The sequence below is a fragment of the Homo sapiens genome, chromosome 3, assembly GCF_000001405.40.
Source record: "Homo sapiens chromosome 3, GRCh38.p14 Primary Assembly".
In the NCBI taxonomy this organism is placed as follows: Eukaryota; Metazoa; Chordata; class Mammalia; order Primates; family Hominidae; genus Homo; species Homo sapiens.
The window spans coordinates 184,986,169-185,011,270 of NC_000003.12; the positions used below are offsets into that span (position 1 = coordinate 184,986,169).

The following is a 25,102-nucleotide window of genomic DNA, read 5'->3' on the forward strand; positions in this document are numbered from 1 at the left end:
GTCTGAGCTGATTCTTAAAAGAGTCTAAGGAAATCAAGGAAAGAAAGGAGGTAGGATTATTCTATATACACAAAGACTTTGAGGTGAAAGCATGGTACTTTTGGAAAGTTACAAGTTTTTTAAGTGTGCTCAGAACATAGGATAAGAATAAAGAAAAATTACAGAGCTGAAATTTGAGAGATAGGCAGGGACTGTGTCTTTAATTGCTTTATAATTCATGATAAGGAGTTTGGATTTTATTCTAAAATCAGTTGTCATCAAGATTTTTAGCAGAGGAATGACTCAGACACAAGGGGAGGGGAGTAAAACACAGGGCTGAAAATGAGGATTTGGGGAAAGTCTGCTGATGGTATTCCCCGTGCTCCTCTTCCCCCTTCCAGCAGCCATCAGACGCACTCACTTCTCATGAAGGAGACAGAGGTTCATTTTCTTGAGACACTGAATGATCTCAGAGGAATAAACCCTAAACAGATTGGATGCTTCAGGTTTTCCTCAAGAAAAAGGCTGGCTAGCTGTCCTGTCACTCTCCATGGAGCTGCATCAGTCAGCAAGCCTCAGTTACACAACCAGGCCTTTCATTGAGGTTTAGTATTTCTATTATTAAGTACTAGAGCAGTATTAGATTTACAGAGAAATTAAACAGAAAATACAGAGAATTCCCTTTTACCCCTTCTCCCTCCCACACTCAGTTTTGCCTACGGTTAACATTTTTGTATTAGTGTGGTATATTTGTTACAATTGGTGAATTAATATTGATATATTATAATTATTAACTAAAGTCCATAGTTTACATTAGCAATCACCCTTTGTGTTGTACAGTTGTATGGGTTTTGACAAATGCATAATGTCCTATATCCACCATTACCATATCATACACTGCTCTAAAAGGCCCCTGTGCTCCACCTATTCATCCTCCTCCCTATGCTAATCCCCTGGCAACCACTAATTTTTTTTCTTTTATTTGAGACAGAGTCTCACTCTGTCACCCAGGCTGGAGTACATTGGCGTGATCTCTGCTCACTGCAACGTCCACCTCCCAGGTTCAAGAGATTCTCATGCGTCAGCCTCCCAAATGGCTGGGATTACAGGCATACACCACCGTGCCCAGCTAATTTTTGTATTTTTAATAGAGATGGGGTCTTGCCATGTTGACCAGGCTGGTCTTGAACTCCTGGCTTCAAGTGATCTGCCCACCTCTGCCTCCCAAAGTGCTGAGATTACAGGTGCGAGTCACCGTGCCCACACTGATTTTTTTTTTTTAACTGTCCCTATAGTTTTACCTCTTCCAGAATGTCATATAGTTGGAATCATAGAGTGCGTAGTCTTTTCATATTGGCTTTTTTCACTTAGCAATATGCACTTAAAGTTCTTCCATTTCTTTTGGGGGCTTGATAGTTCATTTCTTTTTATCTCTGTATATTCCATTGTATGGATGTTCCACAGTTTTGTCTATCCACATACCTATCAAAGAACATCTTGGTTGCCTTCCAGTTCTGAAAATTTTCAGTAAAACAGCTATGAACATTCATATGCAGGCTTTTTGTGTGGACTTAAGTTTTAGACTCATTTGGGTAAATACCTAGGAATGTGATTGCTGGATTATATAAGACTATGCTTACTTTTGTAAGAAACTGCCAAACTCTGCTCCAAAATGTCTATACCATTTTACATTTCCGCCAGCGCTGAATGAAAGTTCCTGTTGCTCCATATCTTAGCAGCATGTGGTATTGTCAGTGTTTTGGATTTTAGACATTCTAGTAGACGTGTAGTAGTCTCATCATTGTTTTAATTTGTAGTTCTCTTACAACATGTGATATTGAGCTTTTACGTGCTTTTTGAAGTGTTTGTTTTCTTGTTGTTGGGTTTTAAGGATTCTTTGTATATTTTGGATAAGGTTCTTTATCACATGCGTGTTTTTGCAAATATTTTCTCCCACTCTGTGGCTGGTCTTTTTATTCTCTTAACAGTGTGTTTCACACAGCAGAAGTGTTTGCTTTTAATGAAGTCTAGTTTATTGACTTTTTCTTCCATGGAATATGCTTTTGATGTTGTATGTAAAAACTCATCACCAAACTCAAGGTTACCCAGATTTTTCTCATTTGTTTTTTCCTAAAAGTTTTGTATTTTTGCATTTTACACTTAGAGCTATGATCCATTTTGTGTTAATTTTGGGGGAAAATATATGGTCAGTGTTGATTCATTTTTCTGCATGTGAATATACACAGTTGGAACTAGTTCCAACACTGCTTGTTGAAAGGACTGTCCCTTTCTCCATTGAATTGCCTTTGCTTAGTTTACCATATTCATATGGGTCTATTTCTGGGTTTTCTGTTCTTTTACAATGATCTATTTTCTATTCCTTCACCAATACCAACACTGTCTTGATTAGTTTTATAGTAGGTCTTAAAGTCAGGGAGTGACAATCATCCAACTTTGCTCTTCTTCATTATTGTGTTGGCCATTCCTTGTCTTTTGCCTCTCTGCTTTAAACTTCAGAAACGGTTTGTTGATATCTACAAAGTAACTTGCTGGAATTTTGATTAGGAATACATTGAACTTATAGATCAAATGAAGAACTAACATTATAACAATATCAAATCTTTCTGTTCATGAACATGAAATATTTCTCCATGTATTTAGATCTTCTTTGCTTTCCCTCATTAGAGTGTTACAGTTTTCTTCATACAAACTGTGTATATTTTATTAGACATATCTAAATATTTCTCTTAGGTACTAATGTGAATAGTATCTTTTTAATTTTAAATTCTAACTGTTGGTTGCTGGCATATTGGAAACCAATTGACTTTGTATAATAACCTTGTATCCTGTAACTTTGCTATAATCACTTAATTGTTTCAGGGTTTTTTAGACAATCATGTCATCTGCAAACAAAGACAGTTTTATTTCTTCCTTCCCAATCTGTATATCTTTTGTTTCCTTTTCTTGTCTTATTGCTGTAACTAGAACTTCCAGTACAGTGTTGAATAGGAGTGGTGAGAGGGGTTATCTTTGCCTTATTTTCTGTCTTAGAAGAAAGGCAGTTTCTCACCATTAAGTATGATGTTAGCTGCAAGGTTCTTATAGATACTGTTTATCAAGTTTAGGAAGTGTCCCTTCCTTCCTTGTTTGCTCACAGTTTGTCTATCATGAGTGGGCGTTGGATTTTATCAAGTGCATTTTCTGCATCTGCTAATATGATCATATGATTTTTCTTATTTAGCCTGTTGATGTGGTGGATTACAGTAATTGATTTTTCTTGTCTTTTTTTTTTCCTTTTTTGTGGAGAATGGGGTCTCACCGTGTTGCCCAAGCAGGTCTCACCCTGGGCTCAAGCCATCCTCCCGCCTCTGCCTCCCTAAGTGCTGGGATTACAGGCATGAACCACCACACCCAGCCCATTAATTGATTTTTAAATGTTGAACCAGCCTTGCATACCTGGGATAAATCCCACTTGGTTGTTATGTATAATTCTTTTTATACATTAGTGGATTCAATTTGCTAATATTTTGTTGAGGATTTTTGCATCTCTGTTCATATAGTTTCCTTTCTTGTAATATCTGTGTCTGGTTTTGGTATTAGGGTGATGCTGGCCTCAGAGAATGAGTTAAGAAGTGTTCCCTCAGCCGGGATGTGGTGGCTCACACCTATAATCCCAGCACTTTGGGAGGCCGAGGCGGGCAGATCACGAGGTCAGGAGATCGAGACCATCCTGGCTAACACGGTGAAAACCTGTCTCTACTAAAAATACAAAAAAATTAGCCAGGCATGGTGGCAGGCACCTGTAGTCCCAGCTACTCGGGAGGCTGAGGCAGGAGAATGGTGTGAACCTGGGAGGCAGAGCTTGCAGCGAGCCGAGACCACGCCACTGCACTCCAGCCTGGGCGACAGAGCAAGACTGTCTACAAAAAAAAAGAAAAAAGAAAAGTGTTCCCTCTGCTTCTGTTTTCTGGAATAGATTGTAGACAGTTTGTATAGTTTCTTCCTTAACTGTGTGGTAGAATTCCTCATTATTTTCCTCAGCAGTCCCTGTATTTAATCCACGTTAAATCCTCTCTACTCTGTCTCCTAGAATATTTTAGGAGTTAAGTTTTTTCTCCCTTGCCTTTCCACCCTCACTGCAGCCCCAATCACACCTGTAAATATAAACTCTTTTTGAGCCCTGCCTTCATATTAGCTTACCCCCGAGGCTGTGAGTTTTGTAAAAGCAGAGATCGTGTCTCCCTTGTTCACTATGTTACCTACAACACCCAGTGCAGTGCCTGAAACATAGTATATGCCCATTAAATATTAGTTGACTCCCTCACCTAATGTCCTTCTATAGTTCTCACCAGTTTACAAATCACTTTAGTGTTCATTATCTTCTCTGATCTCTAACTGTGCAGATTGAGCTGGGGATGTAGCAATACCTCATGTATCTCATGAGAAAAGTGCCACTCAGAAAGATCAAATAATTTGTCTTAGTTTATTCAGTTTTGAAATGGGAACCACTAGAATTAATCCAGGTCTGCTAACTTCAAGTTTTAGGGCTTTTCTTCTGTATCTAACACTAATCAAGGCGTTTCTCATACCCACCTCACTGTATCAGATCCCCACTGAAAAAAGTAGGGAGCAGCAGTTACTTAGATGCACAATTGCTCAGATGCAAATGAAAAAATTAGTTTTTCCAAAAGAAGTGGTCACATGATAAGAGGTTCTCACAGATCTTCTTGATCTTCACGTGTTTATTCAGACTGATGCCTGGGACCCAAATTACACCGTTTTTTTTTTTTTCCATGAATATTAGGTGATAAAAGAACATTTTAAAGGACCATATTTTTGTTATATACATTCTATCTTTGCTGTATGGCTGAAGTAACTTTTAGCTTCTGAGAAGCCGTTTATTACTTTCTCACTGAGGAAAGGCAAACAAATTATTTATAGACTCTCCTGTTCAGGGCATCATTCATATTTTAAAGCAGTGCTCAATTAATAAAGATTTTTATTTTAAACACCCACATACATGATACAATAGGTACCAGAAAGCAATAGGAAAAAAACATGGTCATCACATCTTTTCTAGTGTGTGTCTTGAAAAACAAATTTACCTGGGTACCCAAGTATGCTCTTCCTTCATAGTTTGCAAACAAACAACTTAAGAGAAACCTCAGCATTTATTCATTGCTGAAGAATCTAGCTGACATCTTTGGAAAATAATTTGAAGAGCTAGTGGGTTGGAGCATGCTGTGCTAGAAGCTTTGAGCTCCCTTTTGCATTCTATAATTTATATGTTGTCCCAGCATGAGGTCATTTTCTTGATTTTGCTTTTAAATTATGTATATTACAGTGAGATGTACTGATACAAATATAGAAATGACCTATAGAGATTTCCTTTTCCCAGAATTTAACCTTTTAAGACCTCTTTGTTCTCCAAACCACCCTTGTCGAAAACACATGCCAGAGCTCTGTTGTCTTATTGGATCCACATATTATAGTAAATATTATAATAGATTTTTCTAATAAGATATTGTACCATCTGTTGATATTTGACAAACGTATACTTATTAAGAACTTGACCAAAAGTATAATTAAGCATTAACAAGGGTCTATTTTTATGCAAAGAAAATAAAAAGAAAAAAATGTGCAGTGGGTATATGGCTTTGAGTTGTTTTTCTCTGAAGGACTAGTCTGAAATATCTGTATCTTGCCTTTTGGAAATGATTTCCACATATTTGACAGATATCTTTAGCTTAGTGATATGATCTCTAGCTGTGAAGTAGAAATTTTTCCTGTTAAGCTTAAGTGATGTGTTCAAGCCCAAACTTGTTAATTTGATAATTACTACACAAATACATAGTTATTTTGTGCCTTGGATTTCTTCAGCATAACCCTAGCAGTTGAAGAGTCCAGAGAAACCTCTGGCAGACAGTCTCATGCTGCTCTAGACAGACTCAAAGCACTGAAAACCAATCTTAGTTAGAAACTGCACAACCTATTCTGCAAGAGCCATCACTAGAACCCAGAAGAGAAAAGCAAATCCTGAGACAATTCTTATACAGGTTTTTCCTGCTTCCATAGCCTTTTTTCCTTCTGAACTCACAGTAACTCTTAACAGTACCAAGAGTTTAATAACCCTTACTCCCTAAGAAATAGCCAGACATGTTTCTCGTGTTTTCCAGCAATCATTAGTTTATCATTTACTTACCTATGTTAGAAACCCATATTTTCAAGCAAAAAGTAATTTATTACTTAATTTATTAGTTTTTGTATCCAGACTTGGGAGACCAGTATAGTGTGTTTATTAAAAGCGTGATTTCTGAAGTACCTAGATTCAAATCCCATCTTATCTGCTTGATAGTTTTGTGACTTAGAGAAGTTTTTGTAACCTCTCTAAGCCTCAGTTTCTTTACTCATAAAACCTGTTGAAGGAACTTAGTAATATGTTAAACATAAACTGCTTAGTACTGTACTTGGCATATGCTACTCACTTAAAGTAGCAGCTACTTTTATCATAACTGTGTAGTTGGATTCTCCTATTTGGCATGGAAAAGAGTCATTTATGTCATATATAACTTGATATTAGAGAAAAGTAATAGACTTGACTCATTTATTCACAGTTTTAAAATTATAATTATTAGTCTAGCCAAAGGTCAGTGAAGTGAGCACATACATATGCTGATGGGGATAAAAATCCTAAAATAGGTAGAGCAATTTGGCAGTATATATTGATAGCCATGAAAATGCCCTTTGAGTCTATAGTTTTCTGTCTAGAAATCTCTAAAGAAAGAATCAGAGATTCCAATTGAGATTTGCAGCCACTAGCATTTGATAATGGTGGCTGGAGTTTGGGAAAGGGGAAAAGTGAAGTGTTCAAAGCAGAAAATGAATAAAACATGATATTTTCACATGATTTATATTCTGTACCTATTAAGAAATACTTGTAATGTGTCACAAGAGTAGAGAAAAAAAAAGAAATATTTGCTGGTATGGAAAAGTGCTCACAATATACCATTGAATTAAAAAAAGATATAAAAATATTTTGTAAAATACTCAAATTTTATACACTAAAAAATACATCCCTCTTTCTCTTCCTCTTCTCACCTCTCCCAGAAACAAGACTAGAGAAATATACATCAAAATATCAACAGTGTTTACCTCTAGTTGGATTTCAGTTTTTGGTGTGGTTTTTTGTTTTTTGTTTTGTTTTTTGTTTTTTGGGTTTTTTTTTTGTACACTTCAGTGTTTCCAAAATGCACATAATAAACAAGTTACTTGGCATACCTCATATGAAATGCAGTGGAGAGAACATTGGGTATCTAGGTATCTTTTGTTTATCAGTAGTGACCTTATTGAAAAAAACTTCAAAAAACTGAGAGCTGTTTTCTCAGAACCTGTTTGTCTCCAAAACTGATGCAATTGAGTTGGTTAGGGGCAGGAAGTGGCTAAATGGGATCACAGGAGGAGTTGTTGGACAGATTCTGGGTATTCCTGAGTACACTGGTTTTAATGTAACATATATACGAGCTCAAAGAGGGAGAGTTGCTGTTTTATATGAAGGAGAGGAAGCTTCTTGCAGAAACAAAATAAAAGTAAAGTTTAATTAGATTTGTAAGGATTGTTAAGAAAGGGGCTTGGATAATTTAAATTTTGTTTTTCAAAAATATTTGAGATGGTCAGAGGAAGACTATGGTACATTTCCGGTGGAAAGTTCATGGAAGAATAAATATTTTGTGACTGTAGAAAAATACTTAAAAGCATTTGGCTTTTTCAGATAACTTACATTTTAAAGTAATTTTAAAATACAGAATTGTAACAGAATTGTAATTTTTTCCGATTAGGATCCAGTTTATGGAAAAGGAAAACTTGGAGAAATCCAGGGACTTATCTTGGGAATGTTAGATACCTTTAACTATGAACAAGTAAGTAAGCTACTTGTTACATCTAAGTCTGTCCTAAGGTAGAAAAATGCTATTTTTTTTAATTTTGTACCTATACTTAAAAAAAAATTACCATCTATTTACTGGCAGTTAGGTAGACTGAGGTGTATGTGTGTGTATTTCTTTTAGTTTTTCTCTCGCCAGGCATGGTAACTCATACCTGTAACGCCAGCACTTTGGAAGACTGAGACAGGAGGATTGCCAGAGGCCAGGAGTTTGAGACCAGTCCAGGCAACATAGCAAGACTCTGTCTCTACAAAAAATAAAAAAAAATTAGCTGGGCATGGTGGCATGTGCCTATAATTGTAACTCCTCAGGACGATCAATTGAGCCCAGGAGTTGGAGGCTGCAGTGAGCTATGATTGTGCCACTGCACTCTCCAGGTGACAGAGCAAGACCCTTCTCTGAAAAAAAAAAAAAAAATTCTCTTGACCTTAATTTGTGTACACACACACACATTTCAGAATGTAGAAATGCATCTAATTCAAATTTAGTTTATTTTAATTCATTGGCAATGAAACAAATATCTTTTTTCAAAATGAAAGTGTGAGAAACTTTCTGGAAAAATAATTTAATACAAAGCTATATACCACATGAAAAGGAAGGATCAACATGAATATAGAAAATTGTAAAATAAAATTAAATGAGTATTATTTTAAACATTCTGAAACAGATAGTTGTCACTAACCATTGTATTAGTTTGTTTTTATGCTGCTGATAAAGACATACCCAAGACTGGGCAGTTTACAAAAGAAAGAGGTTTATTGGACTTACAGTTCCAGGTGGCTGGGGAGCCCTCACAATCATGGCGGAAGGTGAAAGGCATGTCTCACATGGCAGCAGATAAGAGAAGAGAGCTTGTGCAGGGAAACTCCCCCTTATAATACCGTCTGCTCTTGTGAAACTTATTCACTATCACGAGAACAACACAGGAAAGACCTGCCCCCATGATTCAGTTACCTCCCACTGGGTCCCTCCCACCACACGTGGTAATTCAAGATGAGATTTGGGTGGGGACACAGCCAAACCGTATCACCATAAATGGTCATTAGTCTTCCCTTAACTCAAAATTGTCTTTAGCTGTAAGTCTCAGTAAGAGCCAGCTTGGTGTACGGGCTTTTTTCTTAGCGTACTGCAGAGTAACCCATGAAGCCACCTAGGAAAAGTACCATTTAGGTCTGTTGGAGACAATGTCTGCTTTTTTTTAAGAATCCGAGAGAAGAAAAGGAAAATCTGGGTGACAGCTTTTCTTAGAATGTTGTAAGAATTGCAGTTTGGTTAAGCGTAGCCCAGTGAAGCTTGATAACCCCTGCAGTCACAGATTCCAGGTTAGCAGAGGTATAGTTGTGTGCAAGGCAGAAAATGTTTGCCAATTTTGGAACTATGGAAGAGGAGAAAAAGATAATACTGATTGGAAAGAAGTAGAATAGACCATTAGAACCAAAAGTATTGCATTACAGGCAAAGTTAAAGAGTTAAGCTGTATAACAAGGAGGGCAGGCAGTACCTAGCTCTATCTTCCCCTTCGGGACTGAGAGAAAAGAACCCAAATACATAGCCAGATGATATATATGAATGTTAAGAATGAGATACAGTACAAAAACAATACTATATAAATACATAGAGCCTTAAAATGACTTAATGTGATAGCTGTTAAAATGTCTTTATGTGACTTAATGATAGATGTCATGGTCTTGAGTAGATGCAAATGACTTCTAAGTGCTGATCAGGAAAATGTGATCTCTCTGCCCAAGGAAGATGAAAATAGAGTAATGGCCATTAGCTTTACTAGTGAAAAGATATTTGAAACATTACCACGAATGCAGTTTCAGTAAAAAATCTGGGATTCAGACTTAGCTGTATTCTTTATTACAACACTCTGAGCCATTCAGAGAGCAGTTATTATATAAATGTAATAAATATATTTGGGCTTATCTAGTCATTTGAAAGCCATCAATACTGAATGAAGCTGCAGAATGGCAGAGCTCACATTTCTCAATAGAAACTAATGACAGATTTGAGAATCTTTGTAATGTATACACTCACCATTACTCTGCACATTGAGGTTAACTGCTTGAATTTGGGAGGTTTTGATGTTTTTTTGTTTCAACAATGTTATCCCTTTATAGTGTGTTTCAATTTTAGCTGTTGGTAGTTGAAAACTAAACAAGTGCTATTCACCATTCATCTCCTCTATCTCTTTCATCTTATAACCTTTTGTTTGTTTGTTTTTTGTTTTGGTGTTTCATAGACCCTGCTGGAAACAACAACCAGCCTTCTAAACCAAGATCTCCATTGGTCATTGTGTAACCTGAGAGCTTCGGTCACCAGAGGACTGAATCCCAAACAAGATTACTGCTCTATATGTTTGCAGCAGTACAAGAGACGCCAAGAAATGGCTGATGAAATAATTGTCTTTAGGTAAGAAAGGGAAGGAAATGTTACATGTATGGTACATGTACATCTGTGGCATTACCAGGCAAGAATCCACATGGATACACGGGTAGTCATTCTAGCAGTGAACGTGATAGGCAAGTTCCTGCCCTCACAGACCTTACATTCTGCATTGGGGTGGAGGTTAGGGTGCCCAGGAAAGACATAAATACAGAGGAATAAGAGCTATGGAGAAAAATAAAACACAGGACAAATAGATAGAAGGATGATGAGTTCAGGACAAGTGCTGTTGAATGAGGGAAAGCATATCTGAGGACATGACCTTTGAGCAGAACGAGAGAGGGAGGAGCAAAGGTGCTGAGAGGTGTTTGGATTCTGAGTATCCTTTAAAGGTAGGGATAACTTGCTGGTGTATTAGATGTGGAGTATAAGAGAAAAATGAATCTTTGGTCTGAGCAATTGGGTAAACATGGTACCGTTGTCTAAGATGAGGAAGAACAGGTACAAGGAACTGGGGAAATCAAGAGTTTTGTCTTGCACGTGTTAGGTTTGAAATGTACTGTTAGACATCAGGTAGGGATGCCAGCTAGACAGTTATTCAAGTCAGAAATCTGGAGATGTGTTGAGACTGGAAAATTTTAATTTAGAAGTTGTCAGCATATGATATTTAAGCTACATTGCAAAGAGAGAGGAACCCTAGTGCAGAGTGAAGGTGTTGGTCTCAGGAGCAAAGACAGCTCATCTAGAATGTATGGATAGAGGTAACATGATATGGCCGTGGATCCAAACTTCCTGACTTCAAGTCTTGACTCTACTACATGCCAGCTGTGAGACCTTGGACAAGTTATTTAACCTCTTTATATCTTAGTTTCCTCATCTGTAAATAGGATAGTAGGGTTTTGTGAGGATTGAATGAGATGATTTATATAAGGCACTTGTAACAGTGCCTGGCATGAGTAAGCACTATCTGAGTGTTACATCTGCAGGAAGATTGGTAGACTTGATGGTTGGAAGGGGAAGTAGTTCTCTTCACACAAAGAGCCCATTCAGGCAAGAAATATTTATTGAGCACCTGCTGTATGCAAGCTGCTATTCAAGGGGATAGGATACAGGATGAACAAAACAAAGGATTTGCCCTCATGGAGTTTACATTGTAGTGGCAGGGATAGACCATAAGCCAACAAGTGAAATGCCAGATACTGATAACTACCATGGGGGAAAAAATGTTAAAGGAGATACAGAGTGTTTGGTGGGGGGTGCAGATATTTTATATAGGTTGGTCAGGGAAAGGCTCACTGTTAAGGTGACTTATGAACAGACAACTTAAAAATTAATTAATAGAAAAATAATAGTTACATGAATAAAAAACAAGCTATGCTATAGAGGAAAAGGAATGTTGGGAGCTACTAATTTATAGAGTAGTCCAGGAAAGCCTTCTTGTTTAAGTGACGTTTGAGGGGATCTAAAGGAAGTGGCCATGCAACGTCAGAAGAGAGTACACCAGGCAGAGGAGCCAAGTGCAGAGACCATGAGGCGGGAGAGCCTTGGCATTCTTGAGGAGTAGTGAGTGAGGAGGCTAGTGGCACCTGAGCAGCCAAGGAAGGGGACAGTGAAAGAGACTTCAGAGGAGCAGAGGCCAAATCATGTAGGAGCTGGCCCAAGTCTAACTCATTTTTATAATGAAAGTGAGACTTTTACTCTGAGATGCGAAGCCACTGGATGGTTTTGAGGACTGGGGCGGTGACATGATCTGACCTATGTCTTAAGGATTACTCTGACTGCTGTGTTAAGAAAGGACTAGAGAGATCAAGGGGGAAAGCAGATGGACCACTTAGGCTGTTGTAGTAGCCCATGTGAGAGATGGTCTAGGTAATAGTCATGAAGTAAGAAGTGGTAGGATTCTGGATATATTTAGAAGGTAGTGGTATTTTAAAGCTATGGAACCTGGAAGTAATCTCTAAAGGAGCAAAGGTAGCTACAACAACAGAGTATAGAAGAGGAAGTTTATATATATATATATATATATATATATATATATATATATATATATATATATATATATATAGCGAGAGAGAGAGAGAGAAGGGAAGAAAAAAGAAAAAGAGTATAAAGACTATAGAAAAGAAAAGGTTTGATTTCTGGAATGTCCGACATTTTAGATTAGAGAAATGAAGATAAATCAGTGTAGATGGCTGAGAATTATTCTCAGTACTCAACTTCTGGGAGGCTGATTTGGTAATTTAGTGTAATCAATAGGGAATTTCTTTATAAGAATAGCGTAAGGATTTACTACAGCAATGACATTTTTGTAAATGTTTAATCAAATCACAACCCTTGCCTTGAATTTGGTGAGCAGACCACTCATGTTGTTATCAAGCTACTTAAATAATTATGATTTTTTCCAGTTGCTTTTTTTTTTCTTTTTGAGATGGAGTCTCATTCTGTCTCCTAGGCTGGAGTGCAGTGGAGCAATCTCAGCTCACTGTAACCTCTGCCTCCCAGGTTCAAGCGATTCTCATGCCTCAGCCTCCTGAGTATCTGGGACTACAGGTGTGTGCCACCACACCTGGCTAATTTTTTGGTTTTTGGTTTTTTTTTTTGAGACAGAGTTTTGCTCTTGTTGCCCAGGCTGGAGTGCAGTGGCACGATCTTGGCTCACTGCAACCTCCGCCTCCCGGGTTGAAGCAATTCTTCTGCCTCAGCCTCCCAAGTAGCTGGGATTACAGGTACCTGCCACCACGTCCAGCTAATTTTTTGTATTTTTAGTAGAGACGGGGTTTCACGATGTTGGCCAGGCTGATCTCAAACTCCTAACCTCAGCTGATCTGCCCACCTCGGCCTCCCAAAGTGCTGGGATTACAGGCGTGAGCCACCACGCCCAGCCCCCAGTTGCCTTTTTTTCAGATTATCTAAAAATACTATCCGGATTTCATAGTTTGAGAAATGAACAGAAGTTCAACTCATCCTCTAGGTAGTTTTTAGTCAGAGAACTGTGATTTGTTCGTACTCACAACATAAGTATACAAATATATGTATGAATGTGGATTTTTAAAAAGAGAGGACAGCAGCAAGTACATTCCCTTTCTTGTTTCTTACCCTGTACAGCCATCAGTGCATTTCTACTTGTTAGAGATTTTTATTGCTTCTAAGTACACTTACAAGCTTATATTTATGGATTTTGTGATAATAAAAAGTACAAATTGGTTGCCTTCGTTTTGCAGCTGTGGCCATTTGTATCACTCATTCTGCCTACAAAACAAAGAATGCACTGTGGAATTTGAGGGCCAAACAAGATGGACATGCTACAAATGCAGTTCAAGTAACAAAGTAGGAAAACTCAGTGAAAATTCATCTGAAATTAAAAAGGGAAGGATAACCCCATCACAGGTAAGACTTGTTTTCGTGGCAAAATGGAAATGGTCTTTTCTTACCAATGTCATTTGGGCCTGGTCTCATTTCCTTCGGTTCCATAGGTCTCAACAAATTTACCTGGTGGGTATTGGGTACATGAAATGTTCTTTTCAGTCCTATTTAGTGTTCGAAGAGCCTCTCCTCTCTACTCAGTATGGAAAAACATGAATTTGAGAGCAACAGATGACATTTTCTGCCTTTAAACGGCTTAAGATCCAGTTGGACAGATGAGGTGTACACACATGAGCCTGCTTTTAAGACCTTTTGATAGAGTAACAGCTTAGCAAGTACAGCTGAGTACTTGCAGGTACCAATGAGTACCTATATGATAAGAGTGCAGAATTATGACTTTTAAGTAGGGCTGATGATGGACAAGGTGCATACACATATGCTCTTTCACTGCCTTTGGAGTCTGACTACTGGACTAGATGATAATTTTATGTATTTTACAGCCTTTTTTTAAAGCAGACAGTGGAGCAGAGTTTGAACTCTACCGCTTGATAGTTTTCAGGAGAGCAGAGCTTGACAACATGAGGGGTTCAATGTGGAGAAGTTACTGGGACTGGGACTTGATCATTGTGCTCTACTCGGCTATACTTCCTCTTTGAGGTAGTATCATATTTTTGGCTTCCTGTTCCTTCCTCTGTGCTACCCTATCCTATAGTTGGCCTTCACATTCACATCACATAGTGAAAAGTTGGGCTTGTTACTTTTCTCTTTTCGTTTCTTTTTTTTTTTTTTGAGATGCAGTCTCGCTCTGTTGCCCAGGCTGGAGTGCAGTGGTGCGATCTCAGCTCACTGCAAGCTCCGTCTCCTGGGTTCACGCCATTCTGCCTCAGCCTCCCGAGTAGCTGGGACTATAGGTGCATGCCACCATGCCCTGCTAATTTTTTGTATTTTTAGTAGAGTTGAGGTTTCGTCGTGTTAGCCAGGATGGTCTCGATCTCCTGACCTCGTGATCTGCCCGCCTCGGCCTCCCAAAGTGCTGGGATTACAGGCGTGAGCCACCGCACCCGGCCTCTCTTTTTGTTTCATCAGCCATCAGCATTGTATTAGAAGCAGAGCCTGGGAAAACCTCCTGACTAACTTCTCTCCAGATAACAATGTAGAACTTCTACTCTCCAGTGGTAGCCTTTCCAATTATACCTTCCCCAAGTTTGTATTGAACAGTGTGATAGGCACTGTGCCAGGTGCCTGGGGATACAATGGTAGACAAGGCAAACATGGTCTTGTCTTTCAGAGTATACAGTCAACAAACTTATAAAAGGATTTTTAACAGAGTACTCTCAAGTTTTTTCTGACTCCAATTCAGTTCAGTTCTGATACTAGCTAGAGTTAGAGACTCCATGGTTTAAGGGTTCAGTCCCACACGAACAGTCCTCACTTTAGATGCCAGTCACAAACAAAGTACTCAGGCTACCTACTTTTGTCTGACTTGGCTGCAAATTCAGTGGTCCCCATGACCCCCTCTGAGGTTCCATAATTCACTAGGATGATTCACAGAACTCAGGAAACACTTTATTTACATTTACCAATTTATTATAAAGGATGCGACTGAGGAAGAGCCAAATGGAAGAGGTGCATAGGGCAAGGTTGGGGAGGGGGATGAGGAGTGGTAGAGATTCCATGCCCTTTCTGGGCCTACCACCTTCCTAGCACATCAATGTCTACACCAACCCATAAGCTCCTCAACCCCACCATTTACAGGTTTTTTTTGGAGGTTTCGTTATGTAGTCATGCCTGAAAATTATTGGTCATTTATGATTGAGCTCAATCTCCAGCCCCTCTCCCCTCTGCACAGGTTGGGAGATGGGGCTGAAAGTTCCAAACCTCTAACCATGGCTTGGTCTTTCTGGCACCTAGCCCTCATGCTGAAGCTATCCAGGGGTCTCCAGCCAGCAGTCATCTTATTCTCATGCAAAAGACACTCTCATCACTCAGGAGATTCCAAGGGTTTTAGGAGCTGTGTGCCAGGAACCTAAGACAAAGGCCAAATATATGTATTTTTATTATACCACAAGTACTTACAGATGAACTATGCTGTAAGTACAGATAATGAGTAGATATAAAATAGACATGAGGGATCATGGAAGGCCTGCTAGAAGTGCCCTGTTAGCTTCCCTTGAAGGGAAAAGAAAAGGAGTAAGCTAGACGAGTTTAAGTGCAACAAACCCAGAACTAGAAGGTAAGTAGAATGAAATTAAGAGGGTCAGAAAGAGAGTGAAATGAGGTGAGGTTCATTAGGCAAGCAAGGACCAAGTTAAGTACTCATGTGTGCCAATACTTATGGCATTATATTTTTTCATTGGTAAGTGTAATGTTAACTGTAGGCTTTTAGTCTGTAACCTTTATATCATGTTTAGGGAATTCCTTTTTATTCCAAGTTTTCTTGAGAAATTTTTCATGAATTGGTGTAAAATTTTGAAAGCCATTTACACTACATTGGTTGCCCTCTTCCTATGTTCCCCACACCTCTTGCAGTGAAGAAAGGTAATCTGTTCACTGAATTTCTTCCTACCTTCTCGAGCATCAAGAAAGGTTCGGAAACCATTTAATTTTATTTTTAAATTTTTTATTTCCATAGTTTTTGAGGAACAGGTGGTTTTTGATTACTTGGAAAAGTTATTTAGTGGTGATTTCTGAGATTTTGGTGCACCCATCACCCAAGCAGTGTACCCTATGCCCAGTGTGTACTCTTTTATCCCTTACTTTGCTCCAGTCCTTCCCCCCTCCCTGAGTCCCCAAAGTCCATTATTTCATTCTTATGCTTTTGCATTCCATAGTTAAGCTCCCACTGATAAATGAGAACATAAGATGCTTGGTTTTCCATTCCTGAGTTACTTCACTTAGAATAATGGTCTCCATCTCCATCCAGATTGTGCAAATGCCATTATTTTGTTTCTTTTTATGGCTGAGTAGTATTCCATGGTGTATGTATACCACATTTCTTTATGCACTCCTTGGTTGGTGGACATTTAGGTTGGTTCCACATCTTGCAGTTGCAAATTGTGCTGCTATAAACATGCATGTACAAGTGTCTTTTTCATATAATGACTTATTTTCCTTTGGGTAGATACCAAGTAATGGAATTGCTGCATCCAATGGTAGTTCTACTTTTAGTTCTTTAAGGAACCTCCATACTGTTTTCCATAATAGTTGTACTAGTTTACATTCCCACTAGCAGTGTAAAAGTGTTGCCTTTCTGCCACATCCATGCCAACATCTAATATTTTTTTATTTTTATTTTTATTTTTATTTTTATTTTTTCTCATTTTTTTTTTTTTTTAATTGATCATTCTTGGGTGTTTCTCGCAGAGGGGGATTTGGCAGGGTCATAGGACAATAGTGGAGGGAAGGTCAGCAGATAAACAAGTGAACAAAGGTCTCTGGTTTTCCTAGGCAGAGGACCCTGCGGCCTTCCGCAGTGTTTGTGTCCCTGGGTACTTGAGATTAGGGATTGGTGATGACTCTTAACGAGCATGCTGCCTTCAAGCATCTGTTTAACAAAGCACATCTTGCACCGCCCTTAATCCATTTAACCCTGAGTGGACACAGCACATGTTTCAGAGAGCACAGGGTTGGGGGTAAGGTCATAGATCAACAGGATCCCAAGGCAGAAGAATTTTTCTTAGTACAGAACAAAATGAAAAGTCTCCCATGTCTACTTCTTTCTACACAGACACAGCAACCATCCGATTTCTCAATCTTTTCCCCACCTTTCCCCCTTTTCTATTCCACAAAACCGCCATTGTCATCATGGCCCGTTCTCAATGAGCTGTTGGGTACACCTCCCAGACGGTGTGGTGGCCGGGCAGAGTGGCTCCTCACTTCCCAGACGGGGTGGCTGCTGGGCGGAGGGGCTCCTCACTTCTCAGACGGGGCGGCTGCCAGGCGGAGGGGCTCCTCACTTCTCAGACGGGGCGGCTGCCGGGCGGAGGGTCTCCTCACTTCTCAGACGGGGCGGCCGGGCAGAGACGCTCCTCACCTCCCAGATGGGGTCGCGGCCAGGCAGAGGCGCTCCTCACCTCCCAGACGGGGTGGCGGGGCAGAGGCGCTCCCCACATCTCAGACGATGGGCGGCCGGGCAGAGACGCTCCTCACTTCCTAGATGGGATGGCGGCCGGGCAGAGACGCTCCTCACTTTCCAGACTGGGCAGCCAGGCAGAGATGCTCCCCACCTCCCAGATGGGGTGGCGGCCAGGCAGAGGCTGCAATCTCGGCACCCCGGGAGGCCAAGGCAGGCGGCCGGGAGGTGGAGGCTGCAGCGAGCCGAGACCACGCCACTGCACTCCAGCCTGGGCACCATTGAGCAGTGAGTGAACGAGACTCCGTCTGCAATCCCGGCACCCCGGGAGGCCGAGGCTGGCGGATCACTCGTGGTTAGGAGCTGGAGACCAGCCCGGCCAACACAGCAAAACCCCGTCTCCACCAAAAAAATACGAAAACCAGTCAGGCGTGGCGGCGCGCGCCCGCAATCGCAGGCACTCGGCAGGCTGAGGCAGGAGAACCAGGCAGGGAGGCTGCAGCGAGCCGAGATGGCAGCAGCACAGTCCAGCCTCGGCTCGGCCTCAGAGGGAGACCGTGGAAAGAGAGGGAGAGGGAGACCGTGGGGAGAGGGAGACCGCGGGGAGAGGGAGAGGGAGAGCTCTTTTTTATTTTTTAATTAGGGCCATTCTTGCAGGAGTAAAGTGGTGTCTTATTGCGGTTTCAATTTGCATTTCTCTGATAGTTTAGTGATGTTGAGCATTTTTTCATACATTTGGCCGTTTGTATGTCTTCTTTTGAGAATTGTCTATTTGCATCCTTTGCCCACTTTTTGATGGGGTTGTTTTTTTCTTGCTGATTTGTTTGAGTTCCTTGTAGATTCTGGTTGTTAGTCCTTTGTTAGATCCATAATTTGTGAATATTTTCTCCCACTCTATGGGCTGTCTGTTTACTCTGCTGATTATTTCTTTTGCTGTGCAGAACCTTTTTAGTTTAATTAGGTTCCATTTATTTATTTGGTTTTTTTTGTTTTGTTTTTTATTTATTTATTTATTTATTTTTGCATTTGCTTTTGGGTTCTTGATCATGAGGTCTTTGCCTAAGCCAATGTCTATACAAGGGTTTTTATGGATTCAGGGCTTAGATTTAAGTCTTTGATGCATCTTGAGTTGACTTTGTATACAGTGAGAGTTGAGGATCCAGTTTCATTCTTCTACATGTGGCTTGCCAATTATCCCAAGCACCATTTGTTGAATAGGGTGTCCTTTCCCCACTTTGTGTTTTTGTATGCTTTGTCAAAGATCAGTTAGCTGTAAGTATTTGGCTTTATACCTGGTTTCTCTGCTCTGTTCCATTGGTCTACATTCCTATTTTTATACCAGTACCATGTTGTATTGGTAACCATACCGTTGTAGTATAGCTTGAAGTTGGGTAATGTGATGCCTCCAGATTTGTTCTTTTTGCTTAGTATTGCTTTGGCTATGTGGGCTCTCTTTTGGTTCCATATGAATTTTAGGATGTTTTTTCTAGTTCCATGAAGAATGATGATGGTATTTTGATGGGAATTGCATTGAATCTGTAGATTGCTTTTGGCAGTATGGTCATTTTCACAATATTGATTCTACCCATCCATGAGCAAAGGATGTATTTCCATTTGTTTGTGTCATCTGTGATTTCTTTCAGCAGTGTTTTGTAGTTTTCCTTGTAGAGGTCTTTCAACTCCTTGGTTGGGTATATTCCTAAGTATTTTATTTATTTTATTTATTTATTTATTTATTTATTTATTCTTGCAGCTATTGTAAAAGGGATTGAGTTCTTGATTCTCAGCTTGGTCATAGTTGGTGTATAGCAGTGCTGCTGATTTGGGTATGTTAATTTTTTATCCTAAATCTTTATTGAATTCCTTTGTCAGATCTAGGAGCTTATTGGATGGGTCTTTAGGGTTTTTAAGGTACACAATCATGTCATTGGCGAACAGTGATGGTTTGACTTCCTTTTTACCGATTGGGTGTCCTTTATTTCTTTCTCTTGTCTGATTGCTGTGGCCAGGACTTCCAGTACTATGTTGAATAAATGAAAGTGGGCATCCTTGTCTTGTTGCAGTTCTCAGGGGAAACCATTTTAAAATGGGATCTACACATCAGCAAAAGTTTGTTTCTGGGGCTATCCCATTCTGCAGGACAGGAGAGATGACCCAACATTTTCATTAACAGGAAACTTCAGTAAGATCAAATCTAGACACTTTATTGTAATTGTATGGAAGACAGAATGAGAACTATTTTGTTTTTTCTTAAATTTTCCTCTAGCTCTCTGTGTCCTTTGATTTTCTTGCATAAGATATTGTAAAAAGATCTAGTGGGTTAGGTAATATAAGAAGGAAGAGGATATGAAATTTATCAAATACATGTGTTAGATGTTTTTATGTTAAGTTAGTCTTTACATCAAGTTGTGAGGGTGATATAATCCTTATTTTACAGCTGTAGGAACTATCTGTAGCTCAGAGAGTGAGGGCCAATATTTGACCTCAAGTTTGTAAGACCATCATCACCCTGAATTATCCTACCACCAACCTGTTCTATTTTTATTCTGGCTTTATTGAAACCTGGTAAAGCTGATTTTTCAAATACATCCATACCATATTGGCAGTCCTAATTAAGATTTCTCACCATTGTGTGAACCATTCACATTTCCAGTTATAATAAAATTTAAAATGAAAATACTAATTCTACTGTGATCGTTTCTATTAAATTTTGTTATATGAAAGTTTTACTTTGCCCCCTTAATTTCCTTTAAAAATCCGTCATCCCTGGTTAAGTTCCTACACAGTGCATGGAGAGCAGCACAGGAGGGCCCAGTGACTCAGACATCAAGCTGAAACAGCCAGGCAGCTTCCGCCTGTTGCTGTCTACACCTAGAAGATGGTGAATGCATTGGAATCCCCTCACTGCCTTTGTAATGCAGTCCTTCTGTCAAATGCAGTCCTTTTGTTTCATCTCTTTCCAAGACTTGAGATAATTAACTTTTACTTCTTCAGTTTCTGGCTCCAACTCTACAGGATGCAATAGTTACCCTCAAAACTATGGTCATGGCAGATAAAGTCTTTCTTCCTGCCACTTCTGTCTCACTGCTTTTTTCATAACTGGTCAATATATACAACCAATAATTCAGACGTAATAGTTGCCTGCCAACAAGGTTACATAGATGTGTTGGGAGTTATTCCCCAGAAAGCCTGCTTTCTCTGGAATAAGCACTTTTAGTCTTCAAAAAAAGGAGAAATGACCCAAATTACTTTCTTTCCTTATCTCCCCCTCTTCCTCCTTCCCACAGGCTTACTGAAAATCAGATCTATAGAATAGGCCTTGTAACTCTATCTGATTCTCTTTCTGATTTCTCTACATATTACCCACAGGAGAAACTAATTTCAGCTGAAGTACTCAACATTCTAGTATATTTTCTCAAGAACATTACTCACTTACATTAATACAATCAAATAATTTAAATTTCACCTTTGATTATTCCTATATTAAATTCATAGTAGCAAATAACAATCTTCTTTGGCATTGATTAGCATGAGAAGAAATTAGCTTGCTATTAATTGTTTAAAAAATAATATTTGTTAGTCAACAGGTAACTTGATATAAATTCAAAGAAAAATATCTAAGATTTGCTAGATTTCAGTTAACAGGGCTTGGCGTTCTTGAGAGTAGGTAATAAGCTAACACATTGTTATGTACCAGAATATTCAAGTTGTTATTCCTTTTAAAACTTCAAACCCAAGAGCATTCTTAGACACTCAGGGAGTTTTATATGGTATTGTTCAAAACCAACTGAGTTTTTCCCCACTACTTGGAATTGGTTTTATTTCTTGGTGTTTAGTGTTCTCTAGGAAAACGTTTTGTCTTTTGGGGTAAATGTACAAATAATGCTAGGAGGAAGTATGAACAACTTCCAAGTAATTATTCAGTAAATGATATTTATGTTCACTAGCCATAATTTTCTATTAACCATTGCACATTGCTTATTTATTTTGAATTCCCACTACACTTGGAGATTCAGTTTACATGCCATTTAATGAAATAGGAACAGTGATATTAATGCCTGTTTTCATTTGTCCATTTAAAAAGAATATTAGCTCTCTGATATAAATAGGTCATATCAATACTATATTACTATAATTAAATATATATTACTATAATTAAACCAAATACTAAAAAATGAGATTTCAGTGTTCAGCAGTAGTGCCATTTTTCAAAAGAGTATATTCAACATTAAACTTATAAATTAAATGAAGATTAATATGTCTCAGAAGTACATAGAGACGATTGATCATCCTAATATAAATGCAGCATTTTGAGGAGACTTTTGCCCATTTTCCAATAATCTTGTTATTATACTGTAGTACTAAGTGATTCATTACTTCAGCCAATATTTAATGTTAAGGGATTCATTACTTCAGCCAGTATTTAATGTATACCTGCATTGAGCCAAACACTATTCTTGGTATGACGATACATTGGTGAACAAAAAAATAACCATAGTTCCCACTATCATGTATCTTGCCATCTAGTAAGGGAGCTAGACATAAATAATTAGGTAAACAAGCATTATATCAAATATATAGCTTCAAATTGTGACAGGTACATAATTGGCATAAAGGGAAAGAATAGAATAGTATAAGGGAGAATAACATGAGGGAAACGTACGTTAGGTGGTTAGGGAATCTTTATATGCAGAGGTAATATTTAAGCCAAGACCTGAAGGCTAAGGCGGTACCAGCCATGTGAAAAACATTTTAGGCAAGAAATTTCAGGCAAGAGAGAACAGCAAGCACAAAGGATCTGAGGAGACAAATGACTTGTTCAAGGAACTGAAAAAAGATCAGCAGCTGGAACCATAGTGCCTAAAAGGGAAAATGGCCAGGAATGAGGTTGAAGAGGTAGGTAGACAGGGCCTGGTTAGCCTTAAAGACCCTGGTAAACAGGTAAACAAGCATTATATCAAATATATAGTTTCAAATTGTGATAGGTACTTAATTGACATAAAGGGAAAGAATAAGGGAGAGTAACATGAGGGAAACCTACTTTAGATTAGGAGACAAATGTCTTGTTCGGTCAAGAGTTTGGTTTTTATTCTTAGGAAACATTGAATGGTGATTGCAGCTGTAGAAAATGGATAGCCAGATCTGTATTACCAGCCCAGTTCTCACTTATTTTCCAGAGCTGTATAGCAGTCAGACTTTTGAAGTTCTGTAAATTCGTACATTTCCCTTTGATGCAGAAAAATCTTCATACAGACAAAGAGAACTAAGGATGAAAGTAATACCAAGACATTGTTTTTAGTATTTTATAGAACTAAGGTTTTGATGGAAATATGAGATAAGGACATAAGAAATTCTGTTGTCCAATAAAATGTGAAAAAAATGCAATTTTACCAGTGATCAAAGAAATGCAAGCTAAATCAACTATACAATACCATTTTTTTTACTTATTAAGCTGGCAAATATTTAAAAATACATAATTAAACTGAGACACATTAAAAATACATATGCATTTACATTGATAAGGATGTGAGGAGACAGATACTTTTATGCACTACTAGTGGGAATGCATATTTGTATAAGTCCACAAGCCCTTGTCTAAGTCACTTTGGCCAGATATGTTTCAGAATTCAGAATTTTTTGGATTTTATAAATGTAATATGAAGACTTTCACTTCAGGACAAGATGCATTTGGAGTTTTTTGCGGGGGGTAGGGAAGGGGCAAAATATATAAAATAATGGTTCATAAGACATTGGACACCAGGCAGTGAAAGATAGTGACCCCTGAAAGATAAGAAACAAATGACATAAACCCTAAGATTTCTACCAAATTACTCCCTGGAGAAAGTTTTCACGGCATGACTCAGAGAGGGAGAACGAAGGCAGAGCTTAGTCTCTCCGGGTCAAGGGGACAGGGCTCAGAGTCCAGGAAAGACAAGGTGGCTAGAGTTTGCAGGGTGGAGTATTAGGTGAGAGCCATACAGAGGGCTCCATAGATCTGCAGAAGGTAACTTTTGAGTATTCAGTTGAGTACTTACCCACTTATTTACCCACTGTGTGAGGAAACTACTTCAGGTCCAAAAAAAAAAAAAAAAAAAAAGGTGCCACCCAAAAGGATTAGATTGAACAATGTCCCAGACTCACAAAGAGCCAGAAATAATGCTTGCTCCCACCAGCCAGCCTGGAAATCTTCATAAATCACAAGGTAGCATTGAGAGTACTAAGTAAGTTCTTAGCCTCAGTAGTGGGGAAAAAAATTAACTTTAAACTAACTGCTGCTTTGATCTCACCTAACAAAGCTTAAAAGCAAAAACCTAAAAAGATAAAACTATTTGCAAGTATTTTAACCATATCGCAGAACAGAGTTTAGCAATGTATTAAAGAATTATAAAAATATCCAATACCCAACAAGATAGAATCCACAATGTCTAGTATTTGATCAAAAATTACTAGGCATGCAAAGAAGCAGGAAAATACAAGCCATGATAATGAGGAAAAGAAAACAACCCATTGAAACTAACACAGAAATGACCCAGATAATAAAATTAGTAGATAAGGACATTCAAAGTTATAATTGTATTCCATATGTTCAAGAAGCTAGAAGAACAATTGAATACGTCAAATGGAAATATGGAAGTTACAAAGAACCAGTAGAACATCTAGAGATTAAAACTACAATGTCTGAGATGAAGAATATACTAGATAAAATTAATAGCAGGATGGGCATTGGAGAAGAAATGATTAGTGAACTTAACAATATAGCAATAAAAACTATCCCAAATCAAACACAGAAAGAAGACTAAACAGAAACAGGGCTTGGTACAGTGGCTCATGCCTGTAATCCCAGCACTTTGGGAGGCCAAGGCAGGAGGATCACTTGAGCCCAAAAGTTTTAGACCAGTTGGGACAACATGATGAGACCCTGTCTCTACCGAAATTTTTAAAAAATTAGCCAAGCGGGTGGCACATGCCTGTGGTCCCAGCTGAGGAGCTGAGGCAAGAAGGTCACTTGAGCCCAGAAGGTCAAGGCTGCAGTGAGCTGTGATTGTTCCATGGGACTCCAGCCTGGGCACCAAAGCGAGACCCTATCTCAAAAAAACAAAAAAGAAAAAGAAATGAATAGATCATTGGTGAACTATGGAACAACTTCAAGTGGCCAAATATACATCAAATTGGAATCCTAAAAAAAAGTAGGGACACAGAGTACAAAAAAAAAAAAACTTTAAAGAGACATAATAGAGTTCTAATTCCAGTAACAGCAGAGCAGCCTATAGTAGATGACCTTTTTGCTAATAATTATAAGCCCTAGGCAAAATATGAAAAAACATTGTTTAGAGAGCAACTGGAAGCAGGCAGAAACTATA

At 38.7% G+C, this 25,102-nt stretch overlaps 1 protein-coding gene across 21 annotated transcripts in view; it reads left to right on the plus strand.

The window, feature by feature from the left end:
- Positions 1-25,102, plus strand: part of VPS8 (VPS8 subunit of CORVET complex) — a 240,449-nt gene that overhangs the window by 174,003 nt on the left and 41,344 nt on the right. For all 21 annotated transcript variants that reach the window (NR_146113.2, XM_047447824.1, XM_024453426.2 and 18 more), the window contains 3 exons: positions 7,815-7,895; positions 10,164-10,333; positions 13,528-13,693. Coding sequence is in view for 20 of the 21 variants with exons in the window: in XM_047447824.1 (XP_047303780.1) it covers positions 7,815-7,895; positions 10,164-10,333; positions 13,528-13,693 (417 nt within the window). In the remaining variant the exon portion in view is untranslated. The remainder of the gene's footprint in view (positions 1-7,814; positions 7,896-10,163; positions 10,334-13,527; positions 13,694-25,102) is intronic.